The 12,447-nt window shown below is 40.7% G+C and overlaps 2 protein-coding genes across 55 annotated transcripts in view, besides 4 other annotated features; one reads left to right on the top strand and one right to left on the bottom strand.

Annotated features, from left to right (window-relative positions):
* Positions 1-7,201, bottom strand: part of FTO (FTO alpha-ketoglutarate dependent dioxygenase) — a 417,979-nt gene extending 410,778 nt beyond the window's left edge. For 16 of the 25 annotated variants that reach the window (NR_156761.2, NM_001080432.3, NM_001363905.2 and 13 more), the window contains exon 1: positions 6,935-7,008. Coding sequence is in view for 22 of the 25 variants with exons in the window: in NM_001080432.3 (NP_001073901.1) it covers positions 6,935-6,979 (45 nt within the window). In the remaining 3 variants the exon portion in view is untranslated. Of the gene's footprint in view, positions 1-6,934 lie in introns of all 25 variants that reach the window. The other 9 variants (XR_007064911.1, XM_047434606.1, XM_011523314.4 and 6 more) reach the window with 1 other exon arrangement.
* Positions 6,786-7,195: an enhancer, noted in NCBI's record as "active region_10847". NCBI's record gives its function as "activates an Ori minimal core promoter by ATAC-STARR-seq in GM12878 lymphoblastoid cells {active_cell/tissue: GM12878}" and the evidence as "EXISTENCE:reporter gene assay evidence [ECO:0000049][PMID:35858748]".
* Positions 6,786-7,310: a biological region, named in NCBI's record as "H3K27ac hESC enhancer GRCh37_chr16:53737766-53738266".
* Positions 6,810-7,310: an enhancer, noted in NCBI's record as "H3K27ac hESC enhancer chr16:53737766-53738266 (GRCh37/hg19 assembly coordinates)". NCBI's record gives its function as "activates a minimal SCP1, AML or CMV promoter by ChIP-STARR-seq in primed H9 embryonic stem cells {active_cell/tissue: H9 hESC(primed)}" and the evidence as "EXISTENCE:reporter gene assay evidence [ECO:0000049][PMID:30033119]".
* Positions 7,305-12,447, top strand: part of RPGRIP1L (RPGRIP1 like) — a 105,707-nt gene continuing 100,564 nt past the window's right edge. For 26 of the 30 annotated variants that reach the window (XR_007064862.1, XR_007064860.1, XR_933260.4 and 23 more), the window contains exons 1-2: positions 7,305-7,361; positions 10,434-10,525. Coding sequence is in view for 26 of the 30 variants with exons in the window: in NM_001127897.4 (NP_001121369.1) it covers positions 10,441-10,525 (85 nt within the window). In the remaining 4 variants the exon portion in view is untranslated. Of the gene's footprint in view, positions 7,610-10,433; positions 10,526-12,447 lie in introns of all 30 variants that reach the window. The other 4 variants (XM_047433872.1, XM_047433871.1, XM_047433870.1 and 1 more) reach the window with 1 other exon arrangement.
* Positions 7,346-7,395: a silencer, noted in NCBI's record as "silent region_7502". NCBI's record gives its function as "represses an Ori minimal core promoter by ATAC-STARR-seq in GM12878 lymphoblastoid cells {active_cell/tissue: GM12878}" and the evidence as "EXISTENCE:reporter gene assay evidence [ECO:0000049][PMID:35858748]".

Genomic DNA, 12,447 nt, shown 5'->3' with positions numbered 1-12,447 from the left:
CATACAGAATATATATCTACTGGGGTCAGATAGGCAGTAGTGAAGGTGGTGGTGATGATGGTGATAATGATGATGATAACAATGTTTATTTTTACTGTATGCCAGCAATGTTTTATGTGCTATATAATATCTCAATCCCTACCAGAACCATATCACTCCTATTTGATAGATGAGGAAATGGAGGCTCAGAGAAGTTAAATTGCTTGCGCAAGTAAATGAGGGAGCAGAATTCAATCTCAGGAGTCTGCATCTAAAGCTCCACACTACACCACTATATTGTAACTTAAGGGGCAAAACTGGATGACAGCAAAATGGAAAGCACATTTCCCACCTAAAAGGGAAGCCACTATTCAATTCTAGTTAGGAAAATGCATGCCCACTGTTACCAGATACTTAAGTTTTTCAAGAGAGTCAGACACCCAGATCTTTATGTGAAATCCCTCAACTTTTAAATATTAGAAAATAATTCTGAAACAACTTTTAGTTTGTTTGGGCCAAATAAAACTTACCTACAGCCAGGAGGCATATGTGGATTATAAATATGTGACCTCTAGAGGCCCCATCTTTCCTCAAAAATATACATGCAAAAATGCAAAATCTGGGCTGCGCACGGTGGCTCACGCCTGTAATCCCAACGCTTTGGGAGGCCGAGGCAGGTGAATCACGAGGTCAGGAGTTCGAGATCAGGCTGGCCAACATGGTGAAACCCATCTCTACTAAAAATACAAAAATTAGCTGGGTGTGGTGGCACGTGTCTGTAGTCTGAGCTACTCAGGAGGCTGAGGCAGAAGAATCGCTTGAACTCGGGAGGTGGAGGTTGCAGTGAGCTGAGATCGCGCCACTGCACTCCAGCCTGGGCAACAGAGCGAGACTTGGTCTCAAAAAAAAAAAAAAAAAGGCAAAATCTGAATCTAATCATAAGGAAACATAAGACAAATAAGAATACAGGGCCATTCTACAAAAAAATTAAATAAATAAATAAATAAATAAATAAAAGATAGCTTGCACACATCACAAATGTCAATGTCTTGAAAGAAAAAGGATGAGGAACCAATTTAAAGGACATGAAAGGACACCAGATTAAAGGAGAAGAGACCAAAGGGACCTGACAATGAAAGGTAATATGCAATCCAGATGGAACCTGGACCAGGAAAAAAATGCTATAAAATTCATTATTAGGACAATTAGCAAAATTTGAATATGGACTTTGGATGAAATAATAGCATTATATCAATGTTAACTTTTTCTGAAATTAACAATTGATTGTGTTTATATTTGTATGCAAGAGAATGTCCATGTTCTTAGGAAATATATGCTGAACTATTTAGGGGTAAAGAGGACTGATGTCTCCGACTTACTCTGCAATGGTTCATTAAAAAAATTGTTCATGTGGATATATATGGCGAGAAAGAGAGCAATAAAGTGAACACAGCAAGATGTTAACCTGTGAATATGGACAAACAGGTCTATGAGAGCTCTAGGTTCTACTCTTGCTCTTCAATAAGTTTTAAATCATTTCAAAATAATAAATTATAACATCTGGGAAAAAATGCATAGGGCCAGCCCCACCCCAGCAGAGGACCCCTCAGGCCACCAAACTCAATCAAGGGCATGCTACTCTACCCCTGGAATAGTAGCTAGACCTCATCACACTGGGTCCTCACACCAACCCACAGAAGCAGCTATTCTTAACCTCATTAATGACTGGAGAAACTGAGGCACGGGGTATGAATCCCCTATCCCTACAGTAAGGAAATAGTAGACGCCATGGTTCTAACTCAAACCATCAAATACTTATCTGGACTGTTCTATTATATGCCTTAGAAGAAAAGTTCATTTTAAAAATGCATGAATACCGTATAGTATTCTCATGTGCTTAACACAAATTAAATAAATGTTAATCGTAGAAAGCTATGTGGTCCAACCTTCTTATTCACCCTCCAGACTTGGAAACAGCATAAAAGTCCATAGCATAAGCAATCACAAGAGAGAAAATATGATCTAAGTTATTTCAAAGAGAAAAGAAAAATAAAAACTAAGTGCCCATTATGGGGATGACAAAGTTTAATTTAAAAAGCAAAAAAGAAATCTTTGTGACTTTGGGATAAAGACTGCATAGATATGACACAAAAAGCATGAATCATAAAAATAAACATTGATAAAGTGGACCTTTCTTAAAAACTATTAAGTAACCTAGATGAATGGAAGATAATGTTTGCAACACACATAGTAAACAAAGGATTTATATCTAGAAAATATAAAGAACTCATAAAACTTAATAATAGGAACACAAACAATCCAACAAAAAAATGGGCAAAGATTTTGAACAGACACTTCACAAAAGAAGATATACACATGTCCAATAAGCACATGAGAAGATGCATAACATTATTACCCATCAGAGAAATGCAAATCAAACCACAATGAGATACTACTTCACACCCACTATAACGGCTACAATAGAAAAGACAGACAACAACAAGTGTTGACAAGGATGTGACAAAATTGTAACCCTCAAAATGGCTGATGGGAAATGTAAAATGGTGTAGCCACACAAGTAAACAGTTTGTCAGTTTCTTAAAATGTTAAACATAGATTTACCATAAGTCCTGTAATTCCACTCCTAAGTATCTACCAAAGAGGAATGAAAACACGTCCACACAAAAACTAGGGTGCAAATGTTCACAGTAGCATTTTCCATAATAGTCAAAATGTAGAAACAAATCAAATGTCCATCAACTGGTGAACAGATAAACAAAATATGGTATATCCTGACACTGGAATTCTTTTTTTTTTTTTGAGACACAGTCTCACTCTGTCACCCAGGCTGGAATGCAGTGGCACAATCTGGGCTCTCTGCAACCTCTGCCTTCCAGGTTAGGTGATTCTCATGCCTCAGCCTCCCGAGTAGCTAGAATTACAGGCATGTGCCACCACTCCTGGCTAATTTTAGTATTTTTAGTAGAGACAGGGTTTCACCATGTTGGCCAGGCTGGTCTTGATCTAAGTTATCCTGACCTCAGGTGATCCACCTGCCTTGGCCTCCCAAAGTGCTGGGATTACAGGCATGAGCCACCATGCTCGGCCTGACACTGGAATTCTATCCACTGTGTAATAAAAAGGAACAAAGTACCAATATATGCTACAACATGGATGAACCTCAAAAACATCCTGGGTGAAAGAAGACCACATATTGTATGAGTCCATCTATATAAAAATGTCCAGAAAAGGCAAATCTAAAGAACAGAGTAGATTCGTGGTTCCCTAGGGAGGAAGTAGAATTGAGAAATAACTGCAAATGAATACAAAGTTTCTTCTGGAATGGAACTGTTCTAAAATAAGACGGTGGTGACAGTTACACGACTCTGCAAATATGCTACCAACCATTGAGTCCTACACTGAAAACAGGTGAATTTTATGGTATGTAAATTATACCTCACTCAATAAAGATTTACAAAAAGAGAGATATGCAACCTCATTAGTCATCACTGAAATGCAAATTAAAATCAAATATCACTGCACACCTACTAGAATGGTTAAAATGTAAAAGACTGACAAGCGATGAAAAGATATGAAACAAGTAGAACTCTCATTTTACATTCCTACTAACAGTTGGTAGGAATGTAAAAGGGTGCAGTGCATTTGAATATTGTTCCCCAAAAAGATATGTCCGAATCCAAAAACCCGGCACGTGTGAATGTAACCTTATTTGGAAAAAGTGTCCTTGCAAATGTAATTAAGTTGAGGCTCTTAAGGATCTCAGGATCATCCTGGATTTAGGACGGGTCCTAATCCAATGACTGGCATCCTTTTAACAGAAAGGAGAGAGAGATTTGAGACACAGAAACAGAGAGAAGGCCATGTGAAGATGGAAGCAGAGAAGTTATGAAGTGATGCTACCACAAGCCAAGGAACACCAGGGACACTAGAAGCTGGAAGAGGCAAGGAAGGAGTTTCCCCTAGAGTCCTTCAAAGGGAGTATGGCCCTATTGATGCCTTGATTTCAATGCCTCATCTCCAGAACTGTAAGATAATAAATTTCTGTTGTTTTAAGCCACCAAGTTTGTGGTAACTTGTTGCAGCAGCCATAAGAAACTAAAACAAATGGTCAAATCACTTCGGAAAACTGGTAATTTCTTCATAAGGTTAAACAAAGAACTCCCCTATAACTAAGCAATTCTACTCCTGGGCATTACCCGACAGAAATAAAAATGTAAAGACTCTTAGGTGAATGGTCATAGCAGCTTTTTTTGACAGAAATGAAAATGGAAAGACTCATACATGAATGGTAAAAACAGCTTTTTTCATAAGAGTCCAAAACCAGAAACAATCCTAATGTCCAGCAACAAGTGAATGAATAAACAACATGTGGTATCTCCATACAGTGGGCCACTAATTTGCGATAAAAAGGAACAAATTATGGATACATACAACAACATGGATTAATCTCAAAAACCATTATGCTGGCCAGGCACAGTGGCTCACGCCTATAATCCCAGTACTTTGGGTAGCAGAGGCAGGAGGACGGCTTCAGCCCAGGAGTTCCAGACCAACTTGGGCAACACAGCAAGACACCATCTCTATTTTGAAAAAAAAATCATTACGCTGAATGAAAAAAAGACCCAAAAGTATACACTGTATGCTTCCATTTATATGAAATCTAGAAAATACAGATGCATCTACAGAGACAAAAAACATATCAGTGGTTGTTTGGGGGCCAAGGTGGAGGGACAGACTAACCACAAATTAACGAGAGGGAACTTAGGAGAGAAATGTTCGCTATGCCAACTGTGGTGGTTTTGCAGGTATATACATTTGTCAAAAGGCATCAAATTGTACACAAAAATGGTTGCAAATGACTGTATGTAAATTATACCTCAATAAAATTGATTAGAAAAAGAGAAGATAATTCATGAGCCATTGGACACTTTACATTTAAGATTTAAAACAACTACTTATACTTTGTTCTAACAAATAATATTAAGCAAACAAATTTTAAATGAACAGCCAATTTTTTAAAGAAAAAAGGAAGACAATTTGCTCTACTAATTCAACATGTTTCACAAGCAGAAAATGGGAAAAGCCTTGAATTTGGAGTCAGAAGACCTGGCTCAGAGCACTAGTTTCACCTAGCAACCAAGTGGCCTTGGGCAAGTCACGATTTACCTACAAGTCTCAGTTTCTAAATCTCTAAAATATGGATGACACTAGTAACTCCCTCACAGGCAATGGTTATGGTTTCAATAGAGTAAGAGCTTCTTTGGTGCAGTGATTCTATTTCAGCCAAAATTATAATCCCAACTTATGGCAAATAATAGGTGCTCAACAAATCTTCACAGAATAAATGAAATACTTTAAAAATAAACCTGAAAGATGAGAAAGACATCATGCACAACACCATGAGGTGACATTTGTTTCTTTGCACTGTGTAGACTAAAGCAGAAGGGTCGCCCTCTTTGTGCTTATCTTTAATATATTATCCACATCATATGCAGACTCAAGCATGAAAACTTCTGGTCCCTTACGAAATACTGCAATAACTCAGGTCAATATAGAGCAGATTTTATATTTTAAATCCTTAGGTGTATTGCCCTAAACAGACTCACGTGTAAGATGAAATTCTATGAAAGCAAGAACTGTGTCTACGTTATTTAACACTGTTATTCACTGCCAATATTTGCCTAACATAGAGTAGGCAGCAAATGACATGTGCAAAGGCCCTGAAGCCCGATAAAGTATAGTGAAGAGTGACTTTTAAGAAGGCCAAAGTGACTGGTAGGCAGAGAGCAGAGTGTCATATCCAATGGGGTTGTGAAAGCAGGTAGGGTCCAGATCATGCAGGATCTTGTAGGCAATGTGAAGTTTTGCCTTTATCCTAAGAGCAACAGAAAGCCATGGAATATTTTTAAACAGGTGGTTGGCAGAGTAAGGAGAAAGGAAAGGGACATAATTATATTTGCATTTCACGAAGATCTTACTCTATGGTGTGCAGAAGAGAATGGTAGTTGAGGGAAGGGAGAGAAGGTGGAAGAAGAGTTAAGTTAGGGTGTAGAGTGAGTGTAGGCCAATCAATAGGCTATTCCAACAGTCTATTAAAAAGATAATGGTAGCTTGGTCCAAGGTAGTGGAGATGAAAAAAAAAAAAAGTGGGCATATTCCCAATATACGTAGACAAATCAACAGGATCTGAGTTTGGGAATGAGAGAAAGGAAAACACTCAATGCTTCTGAGCCTCAGTTCTTCATCTGTGAAGCTGGGCTGTTATTTATACTCCATCTGTATAATATCTATCTTGCAATCTGCTGTGACAATGATATGAAATAATTTAAATATTATGCACTTAATACAGTGCCTGACCCACAATAAATGCTTTTTAAAATCTCTGTTGCCATTATTATGGTCATCCCATGGAATGGCAACTACCAGAAGCTGAACATCAAAGGTAGAGAGGAGCAATGTAGTTAAAGATTCATATCCACAGCGCTAAAAGACACAAACTGTTATCAGCCGGTCACGGAGACAATTGTTCCAAAGAAACACAGCTGACTGCACAGATATTTCATCTAAGCCGATCTCAGTCCTCAGAGACCATTATGAGAAAGCACAGCTGGTATGATCACAGTCATCTGAGAATCCGGTAAACTGAGGCACAGGGATGGCGACAAATTTAACCAAGGAATAGATGCAGAAGAAGGACAAGGAAATGGGTATCTTGCTTCTCATTTTTGAGCCGATCCAACAAGACTCGGCCTGCATCCTGAAGAGCACGAATTTGTAACATCCCCTCTAATATCTCCAGGTCCCTTGCTGACAAGGCCCTGTCATCCCTTAGTTTAACACCGCGCATCCGCTCGCCATCAAACCAAGCCCTTCCGGTTCCCTGATCCTTGCTCACAGCGCACGAAGATCTCCAGGCCCCGGGAGCCCGACATACCTTAGCTTCGCGCTCTCGTTCCTCGGCAGTCGGGGTGCGCTTCATGCTGCCACTAAAGCCGCCTTCGCCACCGCAAGCTGCGTAGATCCCTCGCCCTGGACCCCGCCTCCTGCATGTAGTTCTCTCAGCGTCCTGCTCCCGTCTGGAGCTATTCTCCCTCTGAGTAGAAAAAACTACAACTCCCAGGATGCACCGCGGCGACACCCGCGAGCGCCACGGGATTTAGCACAGGAGAATTTCCCAGGTCCGACAGCTGGAAGAGCGTAGTCCGCTACCCCGCGAGCAAACAGGCTAGAGTCCAAGGAGAACTACATTTCCCAGGAGGCTACGGGAGCCTGCCATGTTTCTCCCGTGCTCCTCTCGGCCAGCCGCCCGCCACGCTGTCGGCGCTATAGCAACGGTAGCTAGCTGCAGGGCCAGTGGCACGGTGAGTACCCGGGAGGATGGGGGAGGATGAGGGTGGGTGGAGGTTGCTGACCCTCCCCACTGCAGCGCGGGCCGGGGTCCTAGGGTCCGCTCTGCCGCCTGGAGAAGGCCCTGGAGTTGGCCCTGGAGTTCTGCTGGCGTGAAAGCAGCCCAGCCCAAGACACCTCCACATCCTCAGGCCTGAATCACAGGCCGCCCTTTATCCCCACGTCCAGGACCAATTTGAAATGTTATATCCCAGCCATGAAGGTGAGAGTTGATGCTGCTAATTGCCATCTCTATCCAGATCCTGCAAGTTGTAGGTCCCTAACACAGTTTGCTCATTTGCCCTGGATTAGGAGTTGGTTGGTAGACCCTAAACCTCCTGAGTGGTCTATTGTTTGCTTAATTATATATTATTTGTTTATCATGTGATTACCTCCATAACTTGCTAGCTTCATAAAGGCGGGGGTTTTGCTTGCCATTTTAATCTCAGTACCTGATATTCATTTATTCATTCAATAAATATTTTTTCTTTATTCTTTTTTTTGTGTGTGTGACAGGTTCTTGCTCCGTTGCCCAGGCTGGAGTGCAGTGGTAAGACCTCAGCTTACTGCAAACTCCTCCTCCCAGGTTCAAGCGATTCTTCTGCCTCAGCCTCCCGAGTAGCTGGGATTACAGGCGTGTGCCACCACACCCAGCTAATTTTTGTATTTTTAGTAGAGACAGGGTTTCATCATGTTGGCCAGGCTGGTCTCGAACTCCTGGCCTGAAGTCAGCCGCCCGTCTCGGCCTCGCAAAGTGCTGGGATTACAGGTGTGAGCCACCACGCACAGCCAATCATTCAATAAATATTAATGTTGGTTCCCACCCTGTACCAGGCACTGTTCCTGAACAGTTGTGAACAAGACTAATACCCGTCTCAAGATGTTTATCCTTTTTTAGTGGAGACAAACAATAATTTTATCTGATAACTTCAGATAGAGGCAGTTGCTATAAGAGATACAAGCCATGCTTGGTGGCACGCACATGTAGTTCCAGCTACTCGGGAGGCTGAGGTGGGAGGATCACTTGAACCCATGAATTCAAGGCCAGCCCGGGCAACATAGCAAGACCCTGTCTCAAAAAAAAAAAAAAGAAAAGAAAAGAAATAAACAGTGAAGAAATGTAAGGAAGACTACTCTAACATAGGATGGTCAGGGAAAACCTGTCTGAGGAAGTGAACTGAGCTCCAAAGATTAAGGAACCAGCTAATACAAAGGCCTTGAGCAAGACAAGGGTATGGGGGGTTCGAGGAAAGTAAAGAATAATGTAAGTGAAGCATAGTGAGCAAAGAAGGATAACATAAGATGGTGTTGGAGAGGCATTGCAGCATTGTGCAGGGTTTTTCAGCTTCTACACTATTATTAACATTTTGGGCTGGATAATTCATTATTATGTCTCCTAAGCACTGTAAGATATTTAGCATCATCCATGGCCTCTACTCACTAGATGCCAGTAGCATCCCGCTTCCTTGTTGTGACAACCAAAAATATCACCAGACACAACTATTAATACTTTCAACTACCACCTTAAGTGAGTTAACTAATCTGTGTCTCAGCTTCCTCATTTGTAAAGCAGGAATCATTTGAGTAACAGCCTCACAAGGATATGGTGAGACACTTCATTCCTATAACAGAACACTTAGAACAGTACCTGGCACATAGTAAGCGTTCAATGAATGTTAACACCATCATCATCATCATCATCATTATTATTTTTAAAGTGACCTTAACTCTGTCATGGAAAACTAATCATTTTCATACACGGGCCTATGTGTCAACAGGATCCTAAAAATTGACCTTTTCTATAGGAGTACTTCCAAAAGAAGTAGATGATCTCCCAAGGATTTGTCTGTTAGCTGTTTCTGTAAAAGCAAAATGCAATGGTTCTCCACCATTTGCGAGTTGTAATAAAAGTTATGAACCCTCTTTAAAAGATATTGCATATATACATATACATACAAAATTTGGTAAACCATCTCTGGGTTCACAGACCCTGAAACCCCATGGACTCCATTCACTCACTCAACAACTATTTAATGAATGCCTGCTCTCAGAATGCACCACGCTCTATGCTAGCCTCCAAGAATACAGAGCTGAACAAGACAATGAAGCTTGCTACTGTCTTGGTCTTTACATTCTAGAACCAATATCCTAGAGCTTAAGAACTCTGCCCTTTAGAGTATCTTCATTCACAGTTTGCATGTAGCTTACTAGGTAGATTGAAATGAAAATATAAAATCCTTTATTTTTGCATACTAGATATTGTGTGGACCACTCACATCCATACTCAAAATAGAGTTACTATGGTGTATTTCTGTAAAGAATAGAAACTACAAAAATACTAGAATTAGCTAGAGAGCCTATATGTTGAAGTAGTTGAACCCTGGGTGAGACCTAGGCCTCATGGCAACAAAGGCAAGACACACACACAAAAAAACACAAACCCAGTTGGTAAATTTATGCAACGAAACCTCTTTCACAAAACTCACAAAATGCACAGAACTGCCCACTCATTTGTACATCAAGCAGACAATATTTGAGTAATATTGACATCCCAGGCACATGTGATCAGTGCTTTTAATTTACTCATCCCATTTACCCTTAGAATAACTCTCTGAGATAGGTATTATTTTCTCCATTTTTAAAACTGAGAGACTGAAACTCAGAGAGTTTAGGTGGCTTGACTAGTTTGTTAATGATAGAGCAACCATTTGAATCAAGTTCCTGACCTGAGTTTTTTCCAAGATATCTGCTTTCTTTTGGAGGCTGGGGAGAGGAAAGGGATGGAGAGGAGGTATTTCTTAAATGATAATCTTACTTCATTTCCTAAGCAAACTATAGGAAATACACTGTTGAAAGGAACACTGTCTCCATGACTGAATGTAGTAGTACTATTAGAATAGAAGCTTTCATCTTCTCCAAGCAGCACATGTGGACAATAAGATGCCCATTAAAGTTCTAGTCCCTTTTTCGTTTTATTTGGTTCATTCCATTGCATAGTTAATGTAATAATTTGGAAAGAGTTTATTTGAATTTTCTTTTTTCCACAGCTAGGCCATGTCTGGTCCAACTGATGAGACTGCAGGAGACTTGCCTGTGAAAGATACAGGTCTAAACCTCTTTGGAATGGGAGGGTTACAAGGTATGGCCAGCTGTTATTTATTACAGTTATGAACTTTGATCACTGACTACTTTTAATTTAAAGTATTTCTTATACTCATACAAACCAAACCATTTAAGTAACTATATAGTCCTTGATTGGACTAAACAAAAAGATGGAGAGTTTAGAACACATATGGTATTTTACTACATGCATCAGTTATCAACAGCTCATAGAAAATGTACAGTCCCCCCTCTGTTCTGATAAAGAATTAACATAAATCATCTTTTTAAAATTCCTCACATCAGTAGAAACTACATAGAGAGTATCAAGCCTCCAAACTGAATTGCCTGGTTTAAATTACATTCAGTGTTAAAACATTTCTTTGTGTTTAAATTTTATATGGGAGGAAAGGCCGTATTTTAAGTGTTTTGCCTTTTAAGTGGAATATCTCACATGATAGTGACTTTTTTATCGAATTAATATGGATTAAAGGTTTTCTTTATCCTTTTATCACTTAGTAGTTGCTGTAGAGCTAAAAAGCACTTTCAAATTGAGAAAGAAAAGCACTACTTTAAAGAACAATTTAGAACAGAGAGCTGTGTTTATCTTTGTGTGTCCATTGTGTCAGCTATGCTGTCATGCATGTATCGATTATCAACAGCTCATAGAAAACGTAAAATCCCCCTCTAGCCTGAGAAGGCTAGGGATTTAAGATACATTCCATTTAGGAATCTACATACACTTTTCAATCAGAACAGTGTAAATGGCCACTGTGAAAACCAGAAAAGTGGTCAATGTATTGTTTATTGAAAAAGATAAAATTTGGCTACACAGAAATTTTTTTTTTTTTTTTTTTTTTTGAGACGAAGTCTCGCTCTGTCGCCCAGGCTGGAGTGCAGTGGCGCGACCTCCGCTCACTACAACCTCCGCCTCCCGGATTTAAGCGATTCTCCTGCCTCAGCCTGCCATGTAGCTGGGTTTACAGGTGTTCGCCGCCATGCCGGCTAATTTTTGGCTACACAGATTTTATTGTTAGAAGTAAAAAGTATGTGTAAGCTTTGCTCTGCAGATCTTTCAGGGAGTATCAAGTATTATACAAATAACTTGTAAGTGTGCAAAGTGATTTATTGGGTTTTGATACTCTATAAGTTCAATTCTTGTGCTCAGTAACCTATCACAGGACCTTAGTCTCTATCAGTTGTTCTTTGTTTCTATTGGAGAATTGTTGAAAATCGACCTTCTTCACAATGATATGGAAAATACCAATTTTTTTTTTTTTTTTTTTTTTTTTATTGATCATTCTTGGGTGTTTCTCACAGAGGGGGATTTGGCAGGGTCATAGGACAATAGTGGAGGGAAGGTCAGCAGATAAACAAGTGAACAAAGGTCTCTGGTTTTCCTAGGCAGAGGACCCTGAGGCCTTCCTCAGTGTTTGTGTCCCTGGGTACTTGAGATTAGGGAGTGGTGATGACTCTTAACGAGCATGCTGCCTTCAAGCATCTGTTTAACAAAGCACATCTTGCACTGCCCTTAATCCATTTAACCCTGAGTGGACACAGCACATGTTTCAGAGAGCACAGGGTTGCGGGGTAAGGTCACAGATCAACAGGATCCCAAGGCAGAAGAATTTTTCTTAGTACAGAACAAAATGAAAAGTCTCCCATGTCTACTTCTTTCCACACAGACACGGCAACCATCCGATTTCTCAATCTTTTCCCCACCTTTCCCCGCTTTCTATTCCACAAAACCACCATTGTCATCATGGCCCATTCTCAATGAGCTGTTGGGCACACCTCCCAGACGGGGTGGTGGCTGGGCAGAGGGGTCCTCACTTCCCAGTAGGGGCGGCCGGGCAGAGGCGCCCCTCACCTCCCGGACGAGGCGGCTGGCCGGGTGGGGGGCTGACCCCCCCACCTCCCTCCCAGACGGGGCGGCTGGCCGGGCGGGGTGCTGACCCCCCC

This window comes from Homo sapiens, chromosome 16 (assembly GCF_000001405.40).
Source record: "Homo sapiens chromosome 16, GRCh38.p14 Primary Assembly".
Classification (NCBI taxonomy): Eukaryota; Metazoa; Chordata; class Mammalia; order Primates; family Hominidae; genus Homo; species Homo sapiens.
This window is presented reverse-complemented; position numbering and strand designations above follow the sequence as displayed.